Below are 23,160 nucleotides of genomic sequence, written 5' to 3' on the forward strand. Positions count from 1 at the left end.
GCCCCTGGCCAGGGTCCACATGGGTCCGCCTGTGTGGCGTCCCCAGCACACACCCTCCTGCCTGGGTCTCTTGCTTCATGGGACAACCACAACAACTGACACCGATTGTGTGCTTGCCATGTGCCCTGACTTGTCCCAAGAGCTTAACAGAACTTATCTCATTTAAACCTCGAAGAGTCCCAAAAGTGGGACCGATTGGCACTCCAAATACAAATGGGGGAGCCACGGCTAGAAAGGCTGAGGAGTTTGCCCGAGCTCTCAGAGCCACGGCTTAAATACACAATTTTGTGTCCCCTCCTGACTGTCTCCAGAATCCAGGTCCCCATCCTCCAGGCCCTTCCCATCGGCCTCCCACCCTTGCCCACAGCCCTTCTTTCTCTCGGCTGCCGTCTTGGAGGACCTTCAGGGCATTAGTGCCACCTCCCCAGCTCTGCTGAAAACCCCTTGAGGATGCACAGTGCCCAGGGCACTGCCCCTCTGAGTCCAGCGGGAAGCACAGTGCCCAGCCCTGAGTGGGGCTTGATGCATCTCTGCAGGCATGAGGACTTGCCCCTGTGCCCCCAGGTAGCCCTCGACAGGAAGCTGACACAGGAAGCTGAAATCCACAATGTGGGATGGAAGTCACTGTCAGGCTAGGCCTTCATCCCCCACCATTCCTCAAGCTCCAGGGAAAAAGAGATATCCTCAGGTGCCCAGAGCAGCAGATGGTTCCCAAGAGCAGACAACCCAGGCATGTCAGTAAAAGAGCCCACCATGAGGCCGGGCATGGCGGCTCATGCCTATAATCCTAGCACTTTGAGAGGCCAAAGGGCAGATCACTTGAGGCCAGGAGTTCCAGACCTGCCTGGCCTATATGGTGAAATCTTGTCTCTACTAAAAATACAAAAATTAGGCTGAAGGGGTGGCACGTGCCTGTAGTCTCAGCTACTCAAGAGGCCGAAGCATAAGAATCACTTGAGCCTGGGAAGCAGAAGTTGCAGTGAGCTGAGATTGCACTACTGCACTCCAGCCTGGGCAACAGAGTGAGACTCTGTCTCAAAAAAAAAAAAAAGAAAGAAAGAAAAAAAAATCCACTGTGACGACCCACTGAATGTCCTAGGTTCAAGGGCAAGCTCTACCACACACATCTCTGTGGCTCTGGGCACACTGCGAGCTTCAGGCTTCCTGCGGGTCCCAGCACTCATTCACTCACCAAGTGTTACTGAGTGCCAGGCTGCTTTCATGGTGCTAGGGATGCAGCCGTGAACAAGACAGACAAGATTCCTGCCCTTTGGGGCTGGCCTTCCAATGCAAGGCCACAGAAGGATGGAGTAAGCAAATGAATGAGACCACGGCAGACACTGGGCGATGTTATGAATGATGCCGCAGAGGGGCATGAGATGGAGCAGGGGAGAGGGCACCAGGGAGGATTCTGGGAGGAGATGGCCTTCCGCTGCAACTCCAGGGATGACAAGGAGCCTGCCAGGGCTGGGGCAGGGAAGAGCAGCGGGAGGCAGAACGGCAGGGACAAAGGCCTTGCAGCAGGAGCTCTGGTTGAGCCCAGGGCCCTGGTCAGGGTCTGATTTCATTAAAAGGACAATGGGAACCGTTGGAAGGTCCTGACTGGGGGTGGGCTAGGGAGGGAACCTGTGAGTGGAGAGTGGACTGTGGGGGCAGGAGTGGTCATGGGGAGAGGTCAGGAGCTGATGCAGTGATTCAGGGGACAGGGGGCTGACTTGACCCCTGGGTGGCAATGCAAATGAAGGAGGCTCCAGGATCAGCAGGGGCAGGGCTGTCAGGAATCGTGGGCAGATGGGATGGGGTGGACAATGAGAAAGAGAGGGGCGGGGGTGGCTCCCAGGTCTGGGCTGAGCAGAGGGCAAACAGGTTCCTGAGGAAGGAGGAGGTTCCCTCCTCTCCCCTGTCACCCCAGGCCCTGCCAGGGCTCCTCCTCCCTGAGACGGGGCCTGGGAGCAGCTGAGAGAGGCCAGCTGCTGCCCAGTTTTATAATCTGGAAGAGGGACATGTATTCAGCATAGGGTGAAGGCCAGAGAAGAGAGGTTGCCCCCACCACAGCCAGAGAGAGCTGGGGAGCTGCAGGAGGTGGGGGCGGGTGAGGGGCATGGGGAGCTGAGGCTCAGGTTTAGAGCACAGATGGCCGGGGTGACGCCAGACAGGAAGAGACTGATCAGGGAGGATCAGGGCCCAAATCCGATGATGCTTCCTCAAGAATGACTGCGCCTGGAAAAGCTGAGGCCATCACTGCTCATGGAGCCACCCAGACACCCAGAGAGGGTCAGGTGTGCACACACACGCATACATGTGTTATGTGCACACAGACTCATACACACACACCCTGCACTTACATAGCCACACTCACACACCTGTCCTCCTGCACACAGTGCTGCACGGCCAAGCCTAAGCATCCTCTCCATTACCCATGGACACCCAGACACACCACAGTGATGTGGCCTCCCTAGTCCCAGGACAGCCCTCAGAGCCCTCCGTGATTAGTCCTGCCATGGTCCCAGCGGCCCCAGGAGCCAGCCCCCAGATCCATGGGGGAGGGGCCCACCCCGGCTCACATGCCCCAGCTGCCCCTCCGCAGCCCATGAACCTGTACTCCTGACCACCAGCCCTGAGACCCACCACCACCCACCAGTGCCCTGCCCACATTTCACGTGGACACAGCCCTGCCTGATACAAGCCCCGAGTCCATTTCTCAGACAGCACAGGTGAGTGGCCCCTTCCCTACTTAGCCAGCACCACCCAGAAGGAAGCAGGTTCCTGGACGGCGGGGGCGGTCAAGCAGGGCCATTTCTGGGGCCCTGGCCTCAGCCCTCTCCTCACACACAAACACAGGATGACCACACACCTGCCACACACACACACACAACACACATACCCCAGAACACACACACCACACATTTGTGACTATGAATGAATCTCTCATTTGAGTGTTGCAACCCAGAAGAGGTCACCACCAATGTCCCCTGATTCCTTCAGGGGTGTAGCTGCTGCCCAGAGAGGTGTGTGGCCCTATCCCCAGCTCAACTCACCCAGAGCAGGGCCTGGGCAGGAAGTGCCTGCCTCTGTTTCCCCAGGGGCAGGGGCAGGACTCAGGTTTAGTCTGAGAGAGGTAAGACCCTGGAGGAGTGGCTCCCAGTGGCCACCAAGGGCATCTCAGGCTGGGCCTGGCAAAGGCAGTAGCGACCTAGGTCCAGCTTCCTAGAGCCTGCAGGGGTCAGGCACACCCAGTGCTTTGCCAGCACAGGGCTGGGAGCTGTGGCTGCAAGATCACCCAGGAGCAGGGCCGAGTGAGGGCCCCCGGGAGCAGCCCCAATGACAGCAGTCACTAAGCCAGAACCCCCAAGCCAGGAGGCTCCTTTCTGCTGGCCTGGGTGCTGAGGGCAAGGGAGAGGCACGAGGGACACAGGATGGCCCGGAGGGTGTGCTGCCCTTACCCAGACCCCGTGGGAGGACCCCGGAGAAGGGCAGGAGGGTGGTGCCCAGGGAGGCGCCCTGTGTGCCAGCAGGGAAGGCCTGCAGCTGGGGGGCCACCTGCCTTCCTCCCTTCTCTCTCCTTTTCCTCTACGTACCCACTGTCTCTTTGTTCTCCTCCTCCTCACCCATCTCTCTCCTCCTCCCCAACCCCTCACTGCTCCCCATCTTCAGGCCACCCCCCTACCCTCAGTAAATATCCCCCTCAGCCAGAGGAGGCCAAGGGAGGGGAGCTGAGCAGTGGCTGAGGCAGGGACGCTGGTCCTGGCCCATGCTGTCCAGGCTCAGGGGATGCCCTGGCAAGCCTCTCCCAGGACTCCTGCCCCTCGTATGGACTTAAAGGACTGAGGCCCCTGATGCCAGTGCCTGGCCCAAGATGAACCAGTATAGAGCCTGCCTCTCCCTGCTCAGAGACCACAGTGGTGACAGCCAATCCTCACTCAAGGGCCTGGCTTAGAGGACTCGCCAACGACCCCCATTCACCCTGCAACCCCAACTTCCACACCTCCGCTCTTGCTGTTCTCTGCCCCTGGATTGCTGGAGCCGCCTCTTCTGTGGATCCTTCTGTGTCCCAGCCCAGCCCTCCCGACTTCTCCTCCATTCTGGGCTCAAGCACGGCTGCCTCTTCAGCCTGTGATGCACTCCTGGAGGCCAGAGGAGGTGCTCCGTGACCGCTCCTGAGCACTAGGTCTGCAGACTGGCCTGCACGTGCCCAGCCTTGCCCTGGCCAGGCCTGCTGGACCAGAGAAACCCAGAGGATAAAGGCCCAAGGTCACAATGCAGGGGAGTGTCCCATGCCCCCCAGGGAAGGCGCCCAGAGCCGAAGTCTTCTCCCTCTGGGGACTGAAGCCCCTCCTTAAGGCAGGGGAACGGGCACACCACCTCAACACAGGTTGCTCACCAGGCACAATAGGATTGTTGGCTTCTGCGTGCACCAGAATTTCACCTCCCTCCACCCTTCTCCACCCACCAGGCCCCTCTGCTCAGCCTCAGACCCCAGCCCAGAATGTCCAGTTGCTAATGGCCCCAGTCAGTGAGCTCCCAGAAGCTGCTCCATGCTCCCCAGATCCTGGAGGCCAGAGTAGCCGGGGGCCTGGCTGCAACTGCCTGGGCTGGAGACCCAGAGGGTTTCCTCGCCTCTATTCCAGCAGCACCAGGCACCTGGATGTTGTCTCATTCTGGCTAAAAATAAGAACTATTTGGCAATGTTTTCCAATAACTTCCAATTACTGTGAATCTACCGTGAGCTAGCTACATTAAATCATACTTCTCAGCCAGGTGCGGTGGCTAATGTCTGTAATCCCAGCGCTTTGGGAGGCTGAAGCGGGCGGATCACAAGATTAGGAGATCAAGACCATCCTGGCTAACACAATGAAACCCCGTCTCTACTAAAAATACAAAAAGAAATTAGCCAGGTGTGTTGGCGGGCGCCTGTAGTCCCAGCTACCAGGGAGGCTGAAGCAGGAGAATTACTTGAACCCAGGAGGCGGAGCTTGCAGCAAGCTGAGATCACACCACTGCACTCCAGCCTGGGCAACAGAGCGAGACTCCATCTCAAAAAAAAAAAAAAAATCACACTTCTCATCAGTTTCACATCACTTTGCGGGACAGGAATTACTTGCTATTCCCATTTGGCGGATGAGGAATTTTTTCCCCAATGTCAAGGCAGAACTGGGACTCCCGCCCATCCTTTCCTCGTTAAGGCCCCTGGGCTCTGTGCATTAGTCCTGCCTCTCCGATGGTGGTAAGGTCCTCCAAGGAAGAGGAGGCCTGACATGCCCATGGCCGCACTGCCACCCATGCCCCTGGCACCATCTGACCTTGGTTGGAGCCCAGCAGTCCCCCACCCCCACCCAGTGGAAACAGAACAGAAATGCGTGTGTGCCCAGGACCCGGGGCATGGGACCTCACATGTGGCTACAAATTAGATGGGCTACAGATTAGTTGTGGGTTAGAACCCCAGATGGGTTCACCATCTTCCAGGGGCTGGGGAACCCCCTCCACCTTGGCTGAGAGATGAGCCCACTTCAAACACACTTTTACCTTTTACTTATTCTCCAAAATTTGTTTGGAATGATGACATAAAATATGAGAAAAACAAACAAGCACTGTTTTTTAAACCAGAAAAGCAGAGAGGTGGTTAACTCCATGCCACAAAAGGATCAGAGACCCGGCATGTCATGTGCCCACACCAGGGCCCATGTTGGGGTGACTCCAAGCAGTGTGACAAACTGGTTTGGGGGCTAATGTGAGGTTACAGCAGAGGTTTCCCAAACCAACCAGTTGGTTTCAGAATCAGCCAGGCCCTGTTGTCTCCTAACCAGACTATGATAACAGCCACCCCCAGGTCCTGGGCACCTGCCTCTGCCTCTCCCGGCCCCGTCTGCCCACCCCCTCCCATCACAGCCCAAGTCTTCTTCCCCGAGGGAAATCTGAGTCCCAGCTCCCTATAGTTGCCTCTGGGATGCATCCACACCCTTCAGCAGGGAGTCAAGGCCCCATCTTTCTTCCCCTTATTTGATTCATGTTCTTCAGCAAAGCCCAGCTTAGTTCTTCCCACCACCCTGTGCCCATGGCCCCCAAACCACCTTGCTCACAGCAGCCACTCTGTCTGCAATGCCCTTCTTGTGGACTCAGAATGCCCTCATGCCCGCCTCCCTGGGGCCAGCACCAATGCTGCCTCCTCCAGGAAGCTTCCCCGTCACCCTGGCGGAGCGTGGTGGCTCCCTCTTGGGTGCCCTGCAGCTCTGTGAAGCCCTCAGGGACTTGCTGTCCCATGGGAGCTGCTGTCATGCAGCTGCTTCCAAGCAGGCTCCACCCTCTTGGATGTCTCCCTCTGTCCTCACCCCAGGGATTCTCATCAGCCCTTCTTTACAGATATGGAAACTGAGGCTCAGAGAGGGAAAGTGAGTCATGCTTGGTGAATCCTAAGCAAGAGGCTGGAGGGGCAGAAGACATGTCCTGTACAGGCTGCCCAGAGCCATGCTGCCTTCCCCCACCCTCAGCAGAACCTGCCTGCCCCCAGGTCAGCCACCGTCCCCCCAGGAGGCCCCCATGCCTGAACACAGGGGTGGCCCCTGCCAGAGCCACACTGGGCAAGTAGGGCTGTGGACAGGACCAGTGCACAGCCATGGTTCCCACAGGGCAGAAGGAACAGGTTACAGAAAACCACTGGGCTTATCCTCAGCCATCTCCTACCTCCCCAAGGAGCCCTTGGGGCCTGGGGACAGGTCAGTAGCAGAGGAAGGACAAGGGGCTTACAAGCATCTTGGCCCTGGCATGGAGTCGAAAATGGGTGAGCAGGTGGCCACATGGGTTGGGGACCACAGGGCCAGGCAGTGTCCGGCAGCCCAGAAGCCCTGAGCTGAGGCTAAGCGGGGCTCTCCCCACACCCCACCCTATAGAGGGTGGAGGAAGTTCCCTGCTGGGTCCAGGGCTGGGACAGTGACAGGCCCCAGCGGGGAGAAGGCCCCATAGTCCCAGTCCGCCAAGGGAAATAGAAACTGCTCACACGCCAGCAGTAGGGCGCACACGGGGTGCCTTCCCCTCATGGCGTGCAAGGAGGGGTGGCCCCTCTGTGTGGGCGGCGGCAGTGCTGAATCATGTCACCCTGCCCCTGCCGCTTCACTGGGAAAGGGGCCCCAGCAGCACCACCTCACCCTGCTGTTGTCGGAACTGAATGAGCCACCATCCGGGAAGGTGTTTTGGAAGCTGTGAACGGCCTGCCATACGTAAATAATTAAAATAATGAAGGAACAACAGACTCATGAGGGCAGGCAAGTGGGCTGGCCTCCCAGCACAGGGGGCAGCCCCCACCTATAGGGAGACCCCAGAAGAAGCTTTTCTTCTGTCCCCCAGCCTCTCTCCAGGCATAGGGCTCTTCCTGGCCCCTCTGCCCATGTGTAAGCTTCTCTCACAGCCGAGGACAAAGCCTTCCCCAGGACCCTCCTGCTCTGGCACCTCTCAGCCTCCTGGCCCTTGACTCCTCAACTTTGGATCCTGTGGGGCAAGAGAGGGCAGTCAGGGAGAGCAGAGGCCCCATGGTTGTCAATTCAGGGGGAGCGTCACAGACAGTGCCCCCCTGCCCCACCTAGCTGGGCCCCTTCCTCGTGCATCTCCGGGCTGCTTATGCTAAGAGAACCTTCCTCCTTTCCCTGATCGGCAGCCCCTTCTGTAGGCTCCATGCAGCAGGTGCTGGGACAGAAGAAATCCATGCTGGTGCACTGCAGCCGTCTGCTCCCGAGAGGGCCGCCTCGGGACCTGCTGCCCAGCACGGGCTCGGGCAAGGCTTGCTGAGAGGCTCAGGGCACGGGGGATCCAGGAGTCCAAGGTGGACCCAGGGGGCCTGGCCGCCTGCACAGCCCCTTCTTGTCCTAGCTTGGCAGGAGGCCCTCAGACCCTGGCCAGTGAGGTCCAGAGAGTCTGCACTGGGACAGCCCAGTCACATCAGCGGCAAGAAGAGTCGCGAGAGAGCCAGGAGCTGGGTCACGAGAGGGTGTTGCTGACTGTTTTTGGCCCCAGCCCCTTCTTGCCCCTTCAATAAACTTCTCCTCCTCCACCCTGGAATTTCCCCAGGAGGATCACACACATTAGAGGGGCGCTGCCCAGAACTAAGACCTCCGTGAGACTCAGCCATTCAACACATATTTGTGGAGCAGCTCTTATGCGCCAGGCACCGCTCTGGGCTCTGGGAATGCAGTGGCTTTGCTGGTTACTCTCTGTCCCCTTCCCCTTCCCAGACCCGTTCTCCTCCCTGCTCTGGGCCCACAGGCTGCCATGCACGGACAGTCAGGTGGGATCTCTCACTCTCTGCTTCCTGACTACTCAGCCAGAAGGCACCAGGAGGCGAAGTGGGGAAAGAGTCTCGAGGACTTCTATCCCTGCTCCTCCTCTGCCCTGACACCAAGGTGTGGGCCGGGCTGGGTCCCTCTGGGACTCCCGTTCCCATAGCTCGGCCCCTCTTCACAGCCCTCGCTGTCCCAGACTCTGACAACATCTTCCCTCTCCTTGTTCTCCCAGCCCAAAAAAGAAGAATGGCCTTGTGGTACAGTGCAAAAATGACTACAACATTTTGACGCTCTTCTATCAAGAGGTGGAGTCCAATTCTCCACAACACATCAAGGACACAGGACAGCCCAGCCTGTGGCACAGGTGCTTTCTCACACATCCTGCCCAGACGCCCACGGTTCCTGGTACTGTGTGTTTGCCCTCGCTGCAAATATGCCCGATTTGTTCAACTACAGCTGTGTTCCTCGTGGTCTTTGGCTGGAGGGAGTTGAGAGACCCCACCTCTATCCTGGTTCCAGCCTCGCCCCTCCTCCTGTAGCATCCAGAATGAACTTTCTAAGTTTCTAAATTGCTCTGCTGGAAACCTTTCAGTGGCACCCAGGTATGTCGGTAGCAGTTCGATTTGGCTGACAGGACAGTGGCCCAGGGTTAAGTGGGGACTAGGAGCTCAGGCTGGTATGCAGGCTCTCCTCCCCAGAACTCCCAGCATATAAAAACTATAAAAACCCTAGAAGAAAACCTAGGAAATACCATTCTGGACACAAGCCCTGGCAGAGACTCCAAAAGCAATTGGAACAAAACCAAAAATTAACAAATGGGACCTAATTAAACTAAACAGCTTCTACACAGCAAAAGAAACCATCAACAGAGTAAACAGGCAACCTACAGAACAAGAGAAAATATTTGCAAACAATGCATCCAACAAAGTTCTAATATCCAGAATCTATAAGGAACTTAAATTAACAAGCAAAAAACAACCCCATTTAAAAAATGGACAAAGGGCTGGGTACAATGGCTCATGCCTGTAATCCAGCACTTTTGGAGGCCAAAGCAGGCAGACCACTTGAGGTCAGGAGTTCAAGAGACCAGCCTGGCCAATATGTGAAACCCTGTCTCTACTAAAAATACAAAAATTAGCCAGCTGTGGTGGCTCGCGCCTGTAGCCCCAGCTAGCTACTTGGGAGGCTGAGGCAGGAGAATCACTTCAACCCAGAAGGCAGAGGTTGCAGTGAGCCGAGACCTCGCCACTGCACTCTAGCCTGGGTGACAGAGCAAGACTCTCTCTCAAAAAAATAAAAAATAAAAATAATAAAAATGGGCAAAGGCCATGAACAGACACTTCTCAAAAGAAGACATACATATGGCCAACAAGCATATGAATAAAATGGTCAGTATCACTAATTATTAGAGAAAGGCAAATCGAAACCACAATGAGATAACAATTCACACCAGTCAGAATGGCTACTATTAAAAAGTCAAAAAATAACAGATGCTGGAGAGGTTGTAGAGAAAAGAGAACACTTCCATGCTGCCAGTGGGAATGTAAATTAGTTCAGCCACTGTAGAAAGCAGTTTGGAGATTTCTCCAAGAACTTAAAGCAGAACTATCATTTGACCCAGCAATTCATTACTGAGTATGTACCCAAAGGAACATAAATCATTCTACCACAAAGACACATGCACGTGAATGCTCATTACAGCACTATGCACAACAGCAAGGAGGAGGAATAAACCTAAATGCCCATCAACGGTGGACTGGATAAAGAAAATGTGGTGCATATATACCATGGAAGATTACACAGCCATAAAAAAGGAGATCAAGTCCTTTGCAGCAACACGGATGGAGGTGGAGGCCATCATCCTAAGCAAATTAATGCAGGAATAGATAACCAAATACCGCAAGTTCTCACTTATAAGTGGGAGCTAAACGTTGAGCACACATGGAGCCTACTTGAGGTGGACGAGGAGGGTGAGGGTCGAAAAACTACCTGTCTAGTACTATCCTTATTACTGGGGTGACGAAAAAATCTGTACACCAAACCCCCATAACGTGCAATTTACCCATGTCACAAGCTTGCACACATACCCTCTGAACCTAAAATAAAAGTTGGAGAGAAAAAAAACAAAATAAACTTAAAATTTTTTAAAAGTTTCTGTATGCTCAAACTCACCACAAACAAAAGTAAAGGGTGAGTGACAAACATGGAGAAAATACTTAGAAACAGGCTGGGCGCGGTGGCTCATGCCTCTAATCCCAGCACTTTGGGAGGCCAAGACAGGCGGATCACCTGAGGTCAGGAGTTCAAGACCAGCCTGACCAACATGGCGAAACCTCGTCTCTTCTTAAAAAATACAAAAATTAGCCAGATGTGGTTGCACGTGCCTGTAATCCCAGCTACTCGGGAGGCTGAGGCAGGAGAATTGCTTGAACCCAGGTGGCAGAGGTTGCAGTGAGCCGAGATTGTGCCACTGCACTCCAGCCTGGGCAACAAAAGCAAAACTCCATCTCAAAAAAAAAAAAAGAAAGAAAGAAAATATTTGAAAGCAAGTGACAGATAAAATATTATTCATTCATTCATTCATCCAGCAGTTAATTGGAGGGTGCCTATTAGGCACCAGGCATTGTCTCAGGTACTGGAAACCTTCACATGGACAAATGACAAAATCTCTGCCCTCTTGGTTCTTACATTGTAATGGGGTGGGGAGGACAAGCAATAAAGAAATAAACACATCGTACGTCAGATGGTGGTTATGGAGAAAAGCCCAACAGGAAAAGAGGACAGAGAGTGTGAAGAAAGTGAGTAAAGATGTGAGGCCTCCAAAAACAAATAAGAAAAAGTCAAACAACACAACAGGAAAGGGGCAAAGAATAACAACACAGAATTCACAGACCAAGAAATGCAAATCTCCAGTAATCCACAAAAGCCATGCTCTACCCACTGAAACAAGGCAGCGCGATGATCCACCCATCAGGTTGGCAAACATTCAAATACTGGGAAGGGTGGTGAATGAGTGAACTTGTGCTCTTTTGGTGGGAGTGTAAGTTGGTTGATAACGTGTGTTTAAAGAAAGCAATTTGACAGAACCTATCCAAATGTTTAAAGCACATGCTCTTCAACCCTGCAACCTCTCTTCTGGGTGAAGAAACTTGTCCAAAGATTTCCAAGGCAGCATTGTCTGTATTGGGAGGAAAAATGGAATACAAAGTTTTTACACTTCTATCAAGTATCTGTAAAAACAAATAATGAGGTAAATCTACACACACTGATCTAGAACAAGCTTCAAGATACAGTGAAGACAAGTGAGTTGCAAAATAAGTTCGTATAGTATGATCCCATTTCAATAAAAACAAAAAAGAGAAAGCTGTACATTCTTGTTTGTTTTTTGGTTTGTTTTGTTTCAGTTTTTTTTTTTTTTTCTTTTTTAGACAGCTCTGTCACCCAGGCTAGAGGGCAGTGGTGCGATCACAGCTCACTGCAGCCTCAACCTCCCGGACACAAGCCATCCTCCCACCTCAACCTCCTGGGTAACTGGGACCACAGGCGCACATCACCACACCCGGCTAATTTTTTGTATTTTTGGTAGAGATGGAGTTTCACCGTGTTGCCCAGGCTGGTCTCGTGGGCTCAAGCAATCTGTCTCGACCTCCCAAAGTGCTGGGATTACAGGCGTGAGCCACCGCACCCGGCCTACATTCTACATGAACATAAATGTGTATGAAAAGCTCTAGGACAAAAAGTCTGGTTACAAATCAAGGAAAAAGCGTTGAACCACCAGAAGGGGATGGTGACTCAGTGAGCCTCGTGGCACCCCTCAGTTGGGGCTGCTGGGGAAGTGGGGGGACAAGCCTTCCACTAAGTGAGACTTGACTGTGGTCTGGACTGTGAAGGAGGACCCCGAGGCTGGCTGAAGGTGTGGGGGAGCCATGGACCTGACAAGGAAAGAGAATGATGGGCCAGAGGGGAGGCTGCAGACCTCAGAGAGGAGGGATCTCAGGAAAAGCCCTGAGCAGGCCAAGGGGGGCAGGCTCAGGCTAGGTGGGCACAAAGGCCCCGGTGACATTGACCACACCACTCAGGCCGGGGGTTTCCTCTGCGCCCTGTGCTGGCCGACCTGCCCGGAATGGCTTCACCCACCCCTCCCCTGCCCATCCTTGAGACCCCTCAGGTTTCGCTTCCTCCAGGAAGGCTTCCCAGATCCCCAGGCTGAATCAAGGGCTTCTCCCAGAGCCTCCCAGAGCTTGGGCTCGCCTCTGGCCTTCACAGGCCTCATCAAGGCACCCACCCAATACTGGTGCCTCCCTGAAGCCAGCGAGTGGGCCTTGGCGGGTTCGCTTTCCCCACACCTGGCTCAGGCCTGGCCTGCAGTGTTGGCTGATGGACAGCTGGTGAGCTATTTACCCTGTTTCTCCATTGGTGGCCTTGGGTAGGTACCAGGCCTCCCTGGGGGAGCCGGGAGCCCTTATTAAGGTTTGATCCCCATCTCTCTGAAAGGCAACATCCTGTCCTTCTCTTGCCCACCATCCCAGTGCAGGGGTCAGATTCTGCCCTGGCCAACAGCCAGGCCAAATGGGGGAGGCCTGTCTCCAAGCAGGATGTAAGGGCTCCCACGCAGCCCAGGGTCTTTTTCCGTGGCTCAGAACATGCTGTACCAGGTGGCCGCCTCTGCTGGGTGTCACCTTGCTTCTCACAGCCCCCTCTCTGCTCACATCCTGTTTCCACCCCTCCAACACTGCTGGGCCCCGCGCCCCCAGCCTCCGCCCCCAGCTGCTGGGTTTTCACGTGGCCTTTCCTGGGTTGCTGTAGGGGCACAGGCCTCTTATTTTTAGCTCCTTGGGGGCTGAAGGAATTTACATCTGAGTCTGCTCTCCTGAAGAGACAGACGGTTTCAAATGTGTCTAATGTGGTCTCCCGGGCAGCCTCAGCCTAGGCCAGCACTAAGGCAGAGGGGAAGGAGTGAGACGGCCAGCCCAGCATCCGGAGGCACACCATGTGGCCTCAGGCAGGGCCCGCAAGCCAGCTGAGCCCCACTTTCCTCAGCTACTAAGTGGGAACCCTGGGGAGGTGACCCCACTGCTGTGAGCCAGGAATAAGGATGCCCATGGGATGGGCAGGGAGGCCCTGGAGATGCCCATGTCAGGGGAAGGAGCCCTCACTCTGGGCCGGAGCCTCACCTACCACACCACCCTGCACAAGTCTATCACACATTTGTTATTTTCCCTAATTATCCCAGAAATCCCCCAACACTAGGAAATTTGGAACACACAGAAAAGATGGCAGAAGACAGAAATGCGTTGCTCATAACCCATCACAGTTCCTATGTGGAGCTGCCCCTCTCTGAGCCCTTTGCAATGCCCTCAGAACGAAAGGCAGGAGGGGAGGTCCCTTACTGAAAACAAAAGCCTACTGTTAGCCCAATAGGGCCTGGCAGGGAGCCCCAGGCAGTGTCCACCAGCCCTCCTCAGGCAGCATCAAGGGACCCAAGCCCCTCTCCCCCTTCCCTTCCTCCTTCCCGGCTGATCCCAGCAGCCCTTCCCTGGTGGCGGCGCTCCCAGAGCCCTGCAGTTTTTCCCCTCCCGAGGTGGGTCCAGGGATGGGCTGTAAGGCCGGGCCTGCCCCCAGGAGACCGGAGACCGCAGCACACATCCTGCAGTGAATATGACTGGTAGTCGCTGGTCCCAACCTCCTCCCTACCAGACGCAGAGGCTTACCCTACACAGACCTCTCACACTTGGCAGAGCCATGTGACTTACTCCAGCCAATGAAACACCACCTCCAGACTCAGGCAATAAAAAGCCCTGTGCGATTTTCCCACTTGCTCATCCTCTGCCATGTCGATGGAGGAGATCTTGAGTTCTCCAGGCACCGCAGCTGCATGACAGCCAGTCGGCCGCATCCGAAGGGCTCTGCCCACTTTTCGACTGGTGAAAACCCACTCCCTGTGGCCCTGTTCCACCACACCCCCAACTTCCATCCTATTTTCCAGTCTATTAAATGGTGGTGGCCACCCCACCACCACCTAGGTCCTGAGTTTCTCCTCAACCTTCAGACAGTTAGTGACATGTACGCTGTTCACTCCACTCCCATGGACCCTATTTATAATTTCATAAATAAAATAAACTATTATGAAATTATATTTTGGCATATACAAGGAATTTTTACAAATCAAGAAGAAAACCAGGGGAACTACAGGAAAAATATCAACATAAAAATGGATATAGTCGACCGGACGTAGTGGCTTATGCTTGTAATCCCAGCACTTTGGGAGGCCAGGGTGGGTAGAACACCTGAGGTCAGGAGTTCGAGACCAGCCTGGCCAACATGGTGAAACCCCGTCTCTACCAAAAATACAAAAAATAAAAATAAAAAATTAACCAGGCATGGTGGCAGGTGCCTGTAGTCCCTCCCAGCTACTCGGGAGGCTGAGTCAGGAGAACTGCTTGAACCCGGAAGGCAGAGGTTGCAGTGAGCCAAGATGGGGCCACTGCACTCCAGCCTGGGTGACAGAGTGAGATTCAGTCTCTAAGAAAAAAAAATAAAAAAGGATTATAGTTATAATAGGCAATTCATGCAAGGGAAATCCCAATGGTTAACAAGTATGACAAGAAATATTTAACTCCATAGTAACTAGAGAAATCAAAATTATAACTGAGATATCCCTTTTATACCATCCAGATTGGAAAAACTAAATAAAAATAAAAAATAAAAGGCAGATAATATTGACCAGGCATGGTGGCTCACTCCTGTATTCCTAGCACTTTGGGAGGCCAAGGCAGGTGGATCACTTGAGGCCAGGAGTTTGAGACTAGCCTGGCCAACATGGTGAAACCCTGTCTCTACTAAGAATACAAAAATTAGCTGAGAGTGGTGGCACATGCCTTTAATCCCATTATTTAGGAGGCTGAGGCAGGAGAATTGTTTGAGCCTGGGAGGTGGAGGTTGCAGTGAGACGAGATTGTGCCACTGAACTCCAGCCTGGGTGATGGAACAAGACTCTATCTAAAAAATAAAAAATAAAAAAAAAATAATGTAGGGAAAGCAACATGACACTATTGAGTAAAAACGGAGTATACTGGCTACCCCCATATTAGCAAATCTTTCTGTCTCTTTCCTCTTAAAAAACAAAAAAACAAAAACACATTTCCTATAATGTATATGGAATAAGGCGAGGGAGAAAATAATAGGGGAGTGAGACTCCCATTCTGCCTCGTACGAAATAAGAAATAATGTTGGAGACATACTAAATGTCATCTAAGACCCTTAACTCACACCACATATAAAAATTAACTAACTGGAACAGATCAAAGACCTAAATGTAAAATCTAAAATTATGCAATGTATAGAAGAAAAACATAGGAGAAAATATTTATATCTTGAACTGGACAAAGTTTTCTTAGAACACAAAAAAGCACAGGCAGGGTACGGTGGCTTACACCTGTAATCCCAGCACTTTGGGAGGCCGAGGTGGGCAGATCATGAAGTCAGGAGATCGAGACCATCCTGGCCAACATGGTGAAACCCTGTCTCTACTAAAAATATAAAAATTAGCTGGGTGTAGTGGCATGTGCCTGTAATCCCAGCTACTCAGGAAGCTGAGGCACGAGAATCATTTGAACCCAGGAGGTGGAGGTTGCAGTGAGCTGAGATTGCACTACTGCACTCCAGCCTGGCAACAGAGCGAGACTCCATCTCAAAAAAAAAAAAAGAAGAAAAAAAATCACACACACAAAATATAAACAATTGATAAGCTGAACTTTGTCAAAATTAAAACCTTTTACTCTTTGAAAGACACCTTAAAAAAACAAAAGGCCTGCTGGATGCAGTGACTCACACCTATAATCCCAACACTTTGGGAGGCCAAGGCGGCAGATCATGAGGTCAGAAGACCAGACTGGCCAACACAGTGAAACCCCATCTCTACTAAAAATACAAAAATTAGCCAGTCATGGTGGTGCACGCCTGTAGTCCCAGCTACTCAGGAGGCTGAGGCAGGACAATCTCTTGAACCTGGGAGGCAGAGGTTGTGGTGAGCCGAGATCATGCCACTGCACTCCAGCCTGGGCAACGGATCGAGACTCCATCTCAAAAACAAAACAAAACAAAACAACAACAACAAAAAAAGGCAAGCCACAGACAGGGAAGAAAATATTACCAACACATATATCAGACAAATGATACACATCTACACATCTAAAATATATAAATACACAACTCAACAATAAAATGACAATCTGATTTTTAACTGAGTGACGGTTTTGAATAACCATTCCCTCAAAGAAGATATGCAAATGGCCAATAAGCACATGAAAAGATGCTCAACATCATTAGTCATTAGAGAAATGCAATTCAAAACCACAATGAGATAACATTTCACACACATGGGGATGGCTAGAATAAAGAACAACAAATGTTGTTAAGGATGTGAAGAAGGTGAAACCCTCACAAACTGCTGGTGTGAACGTAAAATGGTGCAGCTGCTTTGGAAAATAGTTTGGTGATTCCTCAAAAAGTTAAACATCCATTAACCATGTTACAGGTAGTTAGACAGACGTGAGCCGGGCAGAGAGGACTCTCCCTCAACCCACTAGGAATGTTGGGTTGTGGTTCGGCAGTTATTGCATTGCCTCTCTAACAGTGATAAATTGGCAGCTGGTGCCAGGGAGAGCCCATTTCCTGATGGTCCACACCTGTTGCACTAACGTATTAATTAAATGCAGGTGCCAGGGAGAAGTAACTTCCCAGGCATATGCATTAAGAGACAAAATGATGGACCTCCTGGGGGCACCCCACCAGAAAAGGGAAGAAAGCCTCAGATGGGCATGCACACAACTTCCTAAACACACTGCCCCTGCTCACTTCCCAAGGGTAAGGAGGGCACTGCGCATGCGGGAAGCCCACCTGAGAGAAGAATCATGGGAAAGGGGCACAAGACGCCATAAGTGGGCCAGCCTATAAAGTCCTAGGATCAAGGTTAAACATCACACTTGTTCTTCAAGTTCCCGGCTTGGGCCTCTTCCAAGCTTGCTTTCCTTTCTTTCCTGTTTTAAAGGCTTCTAAAATAAACTTCCATTCCTGCTCTGAAAATTTGCCTTGATCTCTTTTTCTGCCCTCAGTCGAATTATTTCTTCTGAGGAGGCAAGAATTGAGGTTGCTGCAGACCCATACAGATTTGCCAGTAACTCTGATACCTTCCACCAGTAATAACCATATGACCCAGCAATCCCACTCCTACTTATACCCAAGAGAATTATAAACATATGTCTATACAGAAGTGTGCACATGAGTGTTCATCAATGGTATTATTCATAATAGCCAAAAAGTGAAAAACAACCCAAATGCCTAGCAGTGAATGAATGGACAAAATGTGGTATATCAACACAGCAGAATATTATTCAGCCCAGTGGCTCACGCCTATAATACCAATATTTGGGAGGCTGAAGCAGGCAGATAACTTGAGGCCAGGAGTTCAAGACCAGCCTGGGGAACATGGTGAAACCTCACAGCTACTAAAAATACAAAAATTAGCCAGGCGTGGTGGTGCATGCCTGTAATCCCAGCTACTCGGGAGGCTGAGGCATAAGAATCACTTGAACCCAGGAGGCAGAGGTTGCAGTGAGCCAAGACTGTGCCGCTGTACTCCAGCCTGGATGACACAGCGAGACTCTGTCTCAAAAAAAAAAAAAAATTATTCAGCCATAAAAGGGAATGAAGCATGTATCAGTAGATACATGCTATAATATGGATGAACCCTGAAAATCTTAAAAATGAAAGAATCCAGTCACAAGAGACCACATATTATATGACTCTTTCATATGAAATGTCCCAAATAGGCAAATTCATAGAGACAGACAGTAGATTAGTGGCTGCCAGGGGCTGGGGAGAGAGGGGTAAAGGGAGTGGTTGCTAATGAATCTGGAATTTTTCTGAGGGGTAATGAAAATGTTTTGGAATTAGGTCATGGTGATGGTTTTATAACCGTAAATGTGCTTAAAAACCACTGAATTGTATATATCTTAATTTTTAAAAAAGGAGAAAAATAGAAATACTCGTGTCAAGACAAACAACCCAATACAAAATGAGCAAAAGATTTCAAATGACACTTCACAGGAAGAAGTTTTATGACCACCAATAACCACATAAAAAGATGCTAAACATCATTAATCACTGGGGAGATGCAAATTAAAGCCATAATGAGAAGACAGATCACAAAACATTTTGGCAAGGAGATGGGGCAACTGAAACTCTTATACACTGCTCATAGGAATATAAAATGAGGCAACCACTTTGGAAAACAGTTTGGCAGTTACTTTAAAATATTTGAGGCCGGGCACAGTGGCTTGTGCCTGTAATCCCAGCACTTTGGGAGGCCGAGGCGGGTAGATCACCTGAGGTCAGGAGTTCAAGACCAGCCTGGCCAAGATGGTGAAACCCCATCTCTACTAAAAAAAAAATCACAAATTAGCGGGGTGTGTTGGTGCACGCCTGTAATCCCAGCTACTTGGGAGGTTGAGGCAGGAGAATCACTTGAACCCAGGAGGCGGAGGTTGCAGTGAGCCGAGATCACGCCACTGTACTACAGCCTAGGCAACAGAGCGAGACTTCGTCTCAAAAAATAAAAAATAAATAAATAAATATTTGAACATACTTTTACCATGACTCAGGCATTTCATTCCTCAGTATTTACCTTAAAAAAAAAACCTAAAATATATATTTACACAAAGACTTGTACACAAATGTTTACAGCAGCTCTATCTATAATCCTCCCAAACTGGTAACAACTCAAATGTTCCTCAACAGGTACATGAGTGAACAAATTGTGGTACATCCATTCAGTGGAATAATACTCAGCCATGAAGAGGGGTGAACTACTGATAAACACAACATGAACGATCATAGAATCATTATGCTGAATTCAAGAAGCCATAAACCACACTACAGCACATACTCTAAGATTCCATTTATATAAAACTCTATAAAATGCAGACTATTCTATGGTGGGTATGCTCAGACAGGGCAGGGGAAGACTTGCAAGGGGTATAAGGAAACTTTTGTGGGTGATGAAATGTTCATTATCTTCATCGTGATGATGACATCACAGGTATATCACATGTGAAAATTTCTCAGGTTGTGCATTTATTTAATGAATTTAAGTAAAATTTATTAGGTTGTGCATTTTAAGTACATGCAGCTTACTGTACTTTGATTATACCTCAACAAAGTCAATGAATAAAAACTACTTAATAAAAAAAGTGAGGACCTAGGTAAAGATGACAGTGGTTACCCCCTGAACCCATGCTTGACAGCAAAGAAGGTGAAGCAAAAGGCAAACCCCACACAATCAAGGAGAAAGGAAAGAAACAGGAAACATTTTTGGAAGGTGGAAAGTATATGGTCAAAATGGCAAATGGCTTAAGACAAAGAAAAAACTGAATTCCTAGCCAGTAGTGGGGACAGTTAAGAGCCAATCCAGTTTACCCAGTGGAATGCCCAAAAGGCTCAGGCTCAGTGAGGTACCATGTTGGGTGAAGAGAAGGGATAGACTAAGAACCAGCTGAAGGTTTGTGTAACAGCCAGCCAGCCTACCCTATAATGAGGTCATGGCCGGCCGCTCACATGCTGAGAACCCCCAGTCAGAGTTTCTTAATAAGAACCAACAACCAACAGCCAAGGAAAGCCTCAATCACAAAGGAGAGGCCACTAACAGGAAAAAGTAACTTGGAGGAAACATCGTGCAGGAAGAAAAAAAATTAACAAAAATCACTCCCATCCTCAGAGAGGGAAGATACTGTACCCATAAAATAAGAACAGTTGCCACAAAGAGCAAACACTCAGAAAATAGGTCTCCAGTTATTAAAAATAAGAAAGCAGAAATTTAAAACTCAATATCAGGCTGGAGGTGGTGGCTCACACCTGTAATCCCAGCACTTTGGGAGGCCGAGGTGGGTGGATCACTTGAGGTCAGGAGTTCAAGACCAGCCTGGCCAACATAGTGAAACCCCGTCTCTACTAAAAACACAAAAATGGCCGGGTGCAGTGGCTCACGCCTGTAATCCTAGCACTTTTGGAGGCCGAGGCGGGCGGATCACGAGGTCAGGAGATCGAGACCATCCTGGCTAACACGGTGAAACCCCGTCTCTACTAAAAATACAAAAAAATTAGCCAGGTGTGGTGGCAGGCTCCTGTAGTCCCAGCTACTCGGGAGGCTGAGGCAGGGGAATGGCATGAACCTGGGAGGCGGAGCTTGCTGTGAGCCGAGATCACGCGACTGCACTCAAGCCTGGGCAACAGAGCAAGACTCCGTCTCAAAAAAAAAAAAAAAAAAAAAAAAAAAGCACAAAAATTAGCCAGGCGCGCCTGTAATCCCAGCAACTCGGGAGGCTGAGACAGGAGAATCGCTTGAACCTGGGAGGCCCAGACCCCGCGGGAATTGAAATCTTACCACACCTGCTGCAGCAGCAGAGAGAGAGATCCCAATTGCCAGAGAGGGTGAGTGGTTTTGTTTATTTTGTTTTGTTTTGTTTTGTTTTGTTTTGTTTTGTTTTTGAGACGGAGCCTTGCTCCGTCACCCAGGCTGGAATGCAGTGGCGCTGTCTCGGCTCACTGCAACCTCCCAGGTTCAAGCGATTCTCTCGCCTCAGCCTCCGGAGTAGCTGGGACTACAGGCGTGCGCACCACCACACCCAGCTAGTTTTTGTATTGTTGGTGGAGATAGGGTCTCACGATGTTACCTAGGCTGATATCCAACTCCTGGTCTCCAGTGCTCCACCTATCTAGGCCTCCCAACTGCTGGGATTACGGGCGTGAGCCACCGCGCCAGCGAGGGTGGTTAGTGGTAAGGACACAACAGGGCCAGGCATGGTGGTAGGTGCCTGTAGTCCCAGATACTCAGGAGGGTGAGGCAGGAGAATCGCTTGAATGCGGGAAGCAGAGGTTGCAGTGAGCCGAGATCGAGCCATGCACTCCAGCCTGGGAGACAGAGTGAGACTCCATCTCAAACACACACACACACACACACACACACACACACTCACAAAACCCTGGAAGACAGAGTGAGACCCCATCTCAAAAACAAAAACATACACACACACACACAACCACAACCCTGGGAGACAGAGTGAGACTCCATCTCAAAAACACACACACACAGAGAGAGAGAGAGAGAGAGAGAGAGAGAAAGAACCCTGGGAGACAGAGTGAGACTCCATCTCAGAAACAAACACACACACAAAACCCTGGGAGAGTGAGACTTGGTCTCAAAAACAAAAAAACACACACACAACCACAATCCTGGGAGACAGAGACTCCATCTCAAAAACAAAAAAACACACACATACACAACCACAACAAACTAAATAAATGAAAAACCAAGTACTGGCTCTAGGAAAACAAAAAGTCGTGCTAGAAAACAGTGTAGTGTCTTGCCTGTGATATTTCCATGCTCGTAATACTGTAAATGCTAAATAATACTGTAACTAATTCAGTATAATTAAGTACTCTGGGACAAAGAGGGGATAAGGGGGGCAAGGAGGGGAAGGAAGAGCTAAGTCATTGCGAGGGGGTGGGGATGGGAAGAAAGAGCGAAGTCTTCATATAATGCCTAAAATGAAAAAGCAAGGAGGGGCGAGATAAGCACATTATTTAGAGACCTGGAGATAAATATCAATATAATATGCTGGGAGAGGTGAAACTGGCTGTCCCTGGGGAGGGGAGATGGTGGGAGGAGTTTTCATAACAAACTTTAAGAACGATTTGACTTTTTTTTTTTTTTTAGACTGAGTCTCACTCTGTTGCCCAGGCAGAGGGAGTTCAATGGTGCCATCTTGGCTCACTGCAACCTCCGCCTCCCTGATTCAAGCCTCCGGAGTAGCTGGGGTTACAGGTGGCATAAGCCATAGTGCCCGGCCATGACTTTTCCAACTATGCGCACAAATATTTGGATAAAAACTAAAAATGGTTTTTTAGTTTTTTGGGTTTTTTGAGATGGAGTCTTGCTGTGTTGCCCAGGCTGGAGTGCAATGGTGCGACCTCAGCTCACTGCAATCTCTTCCTCCCAGGTTCAAGCGATTCTCGTGCCTCAGCCTCCCAAGTAGCTGGGATTACAGACGTGTGCCACCACGCCCAGTTTATTTTTGTATTTTTAGTAGAGAATACTAAAGAGTGCTGAGATTACAGGCGTGAGCCAACGTGCTCAGCCAGAAAAAATGTTACGTACAAATACAAGTGGAGAAAAATACACTGATGCTCTGGGTTGTACAGATTATGTAATTTTTCTTTATATTTTTATGTGTAAAAGAAATGCTTAAGTTAGGCCAGGCGCAATGGCTCATGCCTGTAATCCCGAGCACTTTGGGAGGCCAAGGTGGGTGGATCACCTGAGGTCAGGAGTTCAAGACCAGCCTGGCCAACATGGTAAAATGTCTCTACTAAAAATACAAAAATTAGCCGGGCGTGGTGGTGCGCACCTGCAGTCCCAGCTACTGGGAGGGCTGAGGCACGAGAATTGCTTGAACCTGGTAGGTAAAGATTGCAGTGAGCCACTGCACTCCAGCCTGGGTGATAGAGTGAGACTCCGTCTCAAAAAAAAAAAGAAATGCATAAGTGCATTATCTTTTAGCCTCTTAATTAATACTGTAGAAAACAAAAGAATATGAAGGCAAGATCCAAAGGAGTATCCAGAACATTCTGGGTGATGAACCAGCAGGCCGCTGGTGTAACTATGTTCGAGACAGTTGGTCTCAGGAACGGAGTCACAGCTCACCCAGTCCTACTCTGTCCTTGCTACACAGGACTGAGGCTTTGCTGGTTCTCGATGCTGGGCTGTGCAATTATGTCTAGGCCAGGGTTGTCTCCCCAGCTGCTTTATAATTCCTTTGAAAGTCCTAAAGCACACAGT

General features: G+C 50.7%; 12 annotated features.

Annotated features, from left to right (window-relative positions):
* Positions 1,763–2,356: an enhancer, noted in NCBI's record as "H3K27ac-H3K4me1 hESC enhancer chr2:96818462-96819055 (GRCh37/hg19 assembly coordinates)". NCBI's record gives its function as "activates a minimal SCP1, AML or CMV promoter by ChIP-STARR-seq in naive and primed H9 embryonic stem cells {active_cell/tissue: H9 hESC(naive and primed)}" and the evidence as "EXISTENCE:reporter gene assay evidence [ECO:0000049][PMID:30033119]".
* Positions 3,244–3,313: an enhancer, noted in NCBI's record as "active region_16199". NCBI's record gives its function as "activates an Ori minimal core promoter by ATAC-STARR-seq in GM12878 lymphoblastoid cells {active_cell/tissue: GM12878}" and the evidence as "EXISTENCE:reporter gene assay evidence [ECO:0000049][PMID:35858748]".
* Positions 6,311–6,400: an enhancer, noted in NCBI's record as "active region_16200". NCBI's record gives its function as "activates an Ori minimal core promoter by ATAC-STARR-seq in GM12878 lymphoblastoid cells {active_cell/tissue: GM12878}" and the evidence as "EXISTENCE:reporter gene assay evidence [ECO:0000049][PMID:35858748]".
* Positions 6,580–7,118: an enhancer, noted in NCBI's record as "H3K27ac-H3K4me1 hESC enhancer chr2:96823279-96823817 (GRCh37/hg19 assembly coordinates)". NCBI's record gives its function as "activates a minimal SCP1, AML or CMV promoter by ChIP-STARR-seq in primed H9 embryonic stem cells {active_cell/tissue: H9 hESC(primed)}" and the evidence as "EXISTENCE:reporter gene assay evidence [ECO:0000049][PMID:30033119]".
* Positions 6,580–7,350: a biological region, named in NCBI's record as "Sharpr-MPRA regulatory region 4518".
* Positions 6,930–7,224: an enhancer, noted in NCBI's record as "tiled region #4518; K562 Activating DNase matched - State 5:Enh". NCBI's record gives its function as "activates a minimal TATA promoter and a strong SV40 promoter by Sharpr-MPRA in K562 cells {active_cell/tissue: K562}" and the evidence as "EXISTENCE:reporter gene assay evidence [ECO:0000049][PMID:27701403]".
* Positions 6,941–7,350: an enhancer, noted in NCBI's record as "active region_16201". NCBI's record gives its function as "activates an Ori minimal core promoter by ATAC-STARR-seq in GM12878 lymphoblastoid cells {active_cell/tissue: GM12878}" and the evidence as "EXISTENCE:reporter gene assay evidence [ECO:0000049][PMID:35858748]".
* Positions 7,511–7,650: an enhancer, noted in NCBI's record as "active region_16202". NCBI's record gives its function as "activates an Ori minimal core promoter by ATAC-STARR-seq in GM12878 lymphoblastoid cells {active_cell/tissue: GM12878}" and the evidence as "EXISTENCE:reporter gene assay evidence [ECO:0000049][PMID:35858748]".
* Positions 7,659–8,196: an enhancer, noted in NCBI's record as "H3K27ac-H3K4me1 hESC enhancer chr2:96824357-96824894 (GRCh37/hg19 assembly coordinates)". NCBI's record gives its function as "activates a minimal SCP1, AML or CMV promoter by ChIP-STARR-seq in naive H9 embryonic stem cells {active_cell/tissue: H9 hESC(naive)}" and the evidence as "EXISTENCE:reporter gene assay evidence [ECO:0000049][PMID:30033119]".
* Positions 12,638–12,917: an enhancer, noted in NCBI's record as "active region_16203". NCBI's record gives its function as "activates an Ori minimal core promoter by ATAC-STARR-seq in GM12878 lymphoblastoid cells {active_cell/tissue: GM12878}" and the evidence as "EXISTENCE:reporter gene assay evidence [ECO:0000049][PMID:35858748]".
* Positions 13,798–13,847: an enhancer, noted in NCBI's record as "active region_16204". NCBI's record gives its function as "activates an Ori minimal core promoter by ATAC-STARR-seq in GM12878 lymphoblastoid cells {active_cell/tissue: GM12878}" and the evidence as "EXISTENCE:reporter gene assay evidence [ECO:0000049][PMID:35858748]".
* Positions 14,108–14,187: an enhancer, noted in NCBI's record as "active region_16205". NCBI's record gives its function as "activates an Ori minimal core promoter by ATAC-STARR-seq in GM12878 lymphoblastoid cells {active_cell/tissue: GM12878}" and the evidence as "EXISTENCE:reporter gene assay evidence [ECO:0000049][PMID:35858748]".

The sequence above is a fragment of the Homo sapiens genome, chromosome 2 (genome assembly GCF_000001405.40).
Source record: "Homo sapiens chromosome 2, GRCh38.p14 Primary Assembly".
Classification (NCBI taxonomy): Eukaryota; Metazoa; Chordata; class Mammalia; order Primates; family Hominidae; genus Homo; species Homo sapiens.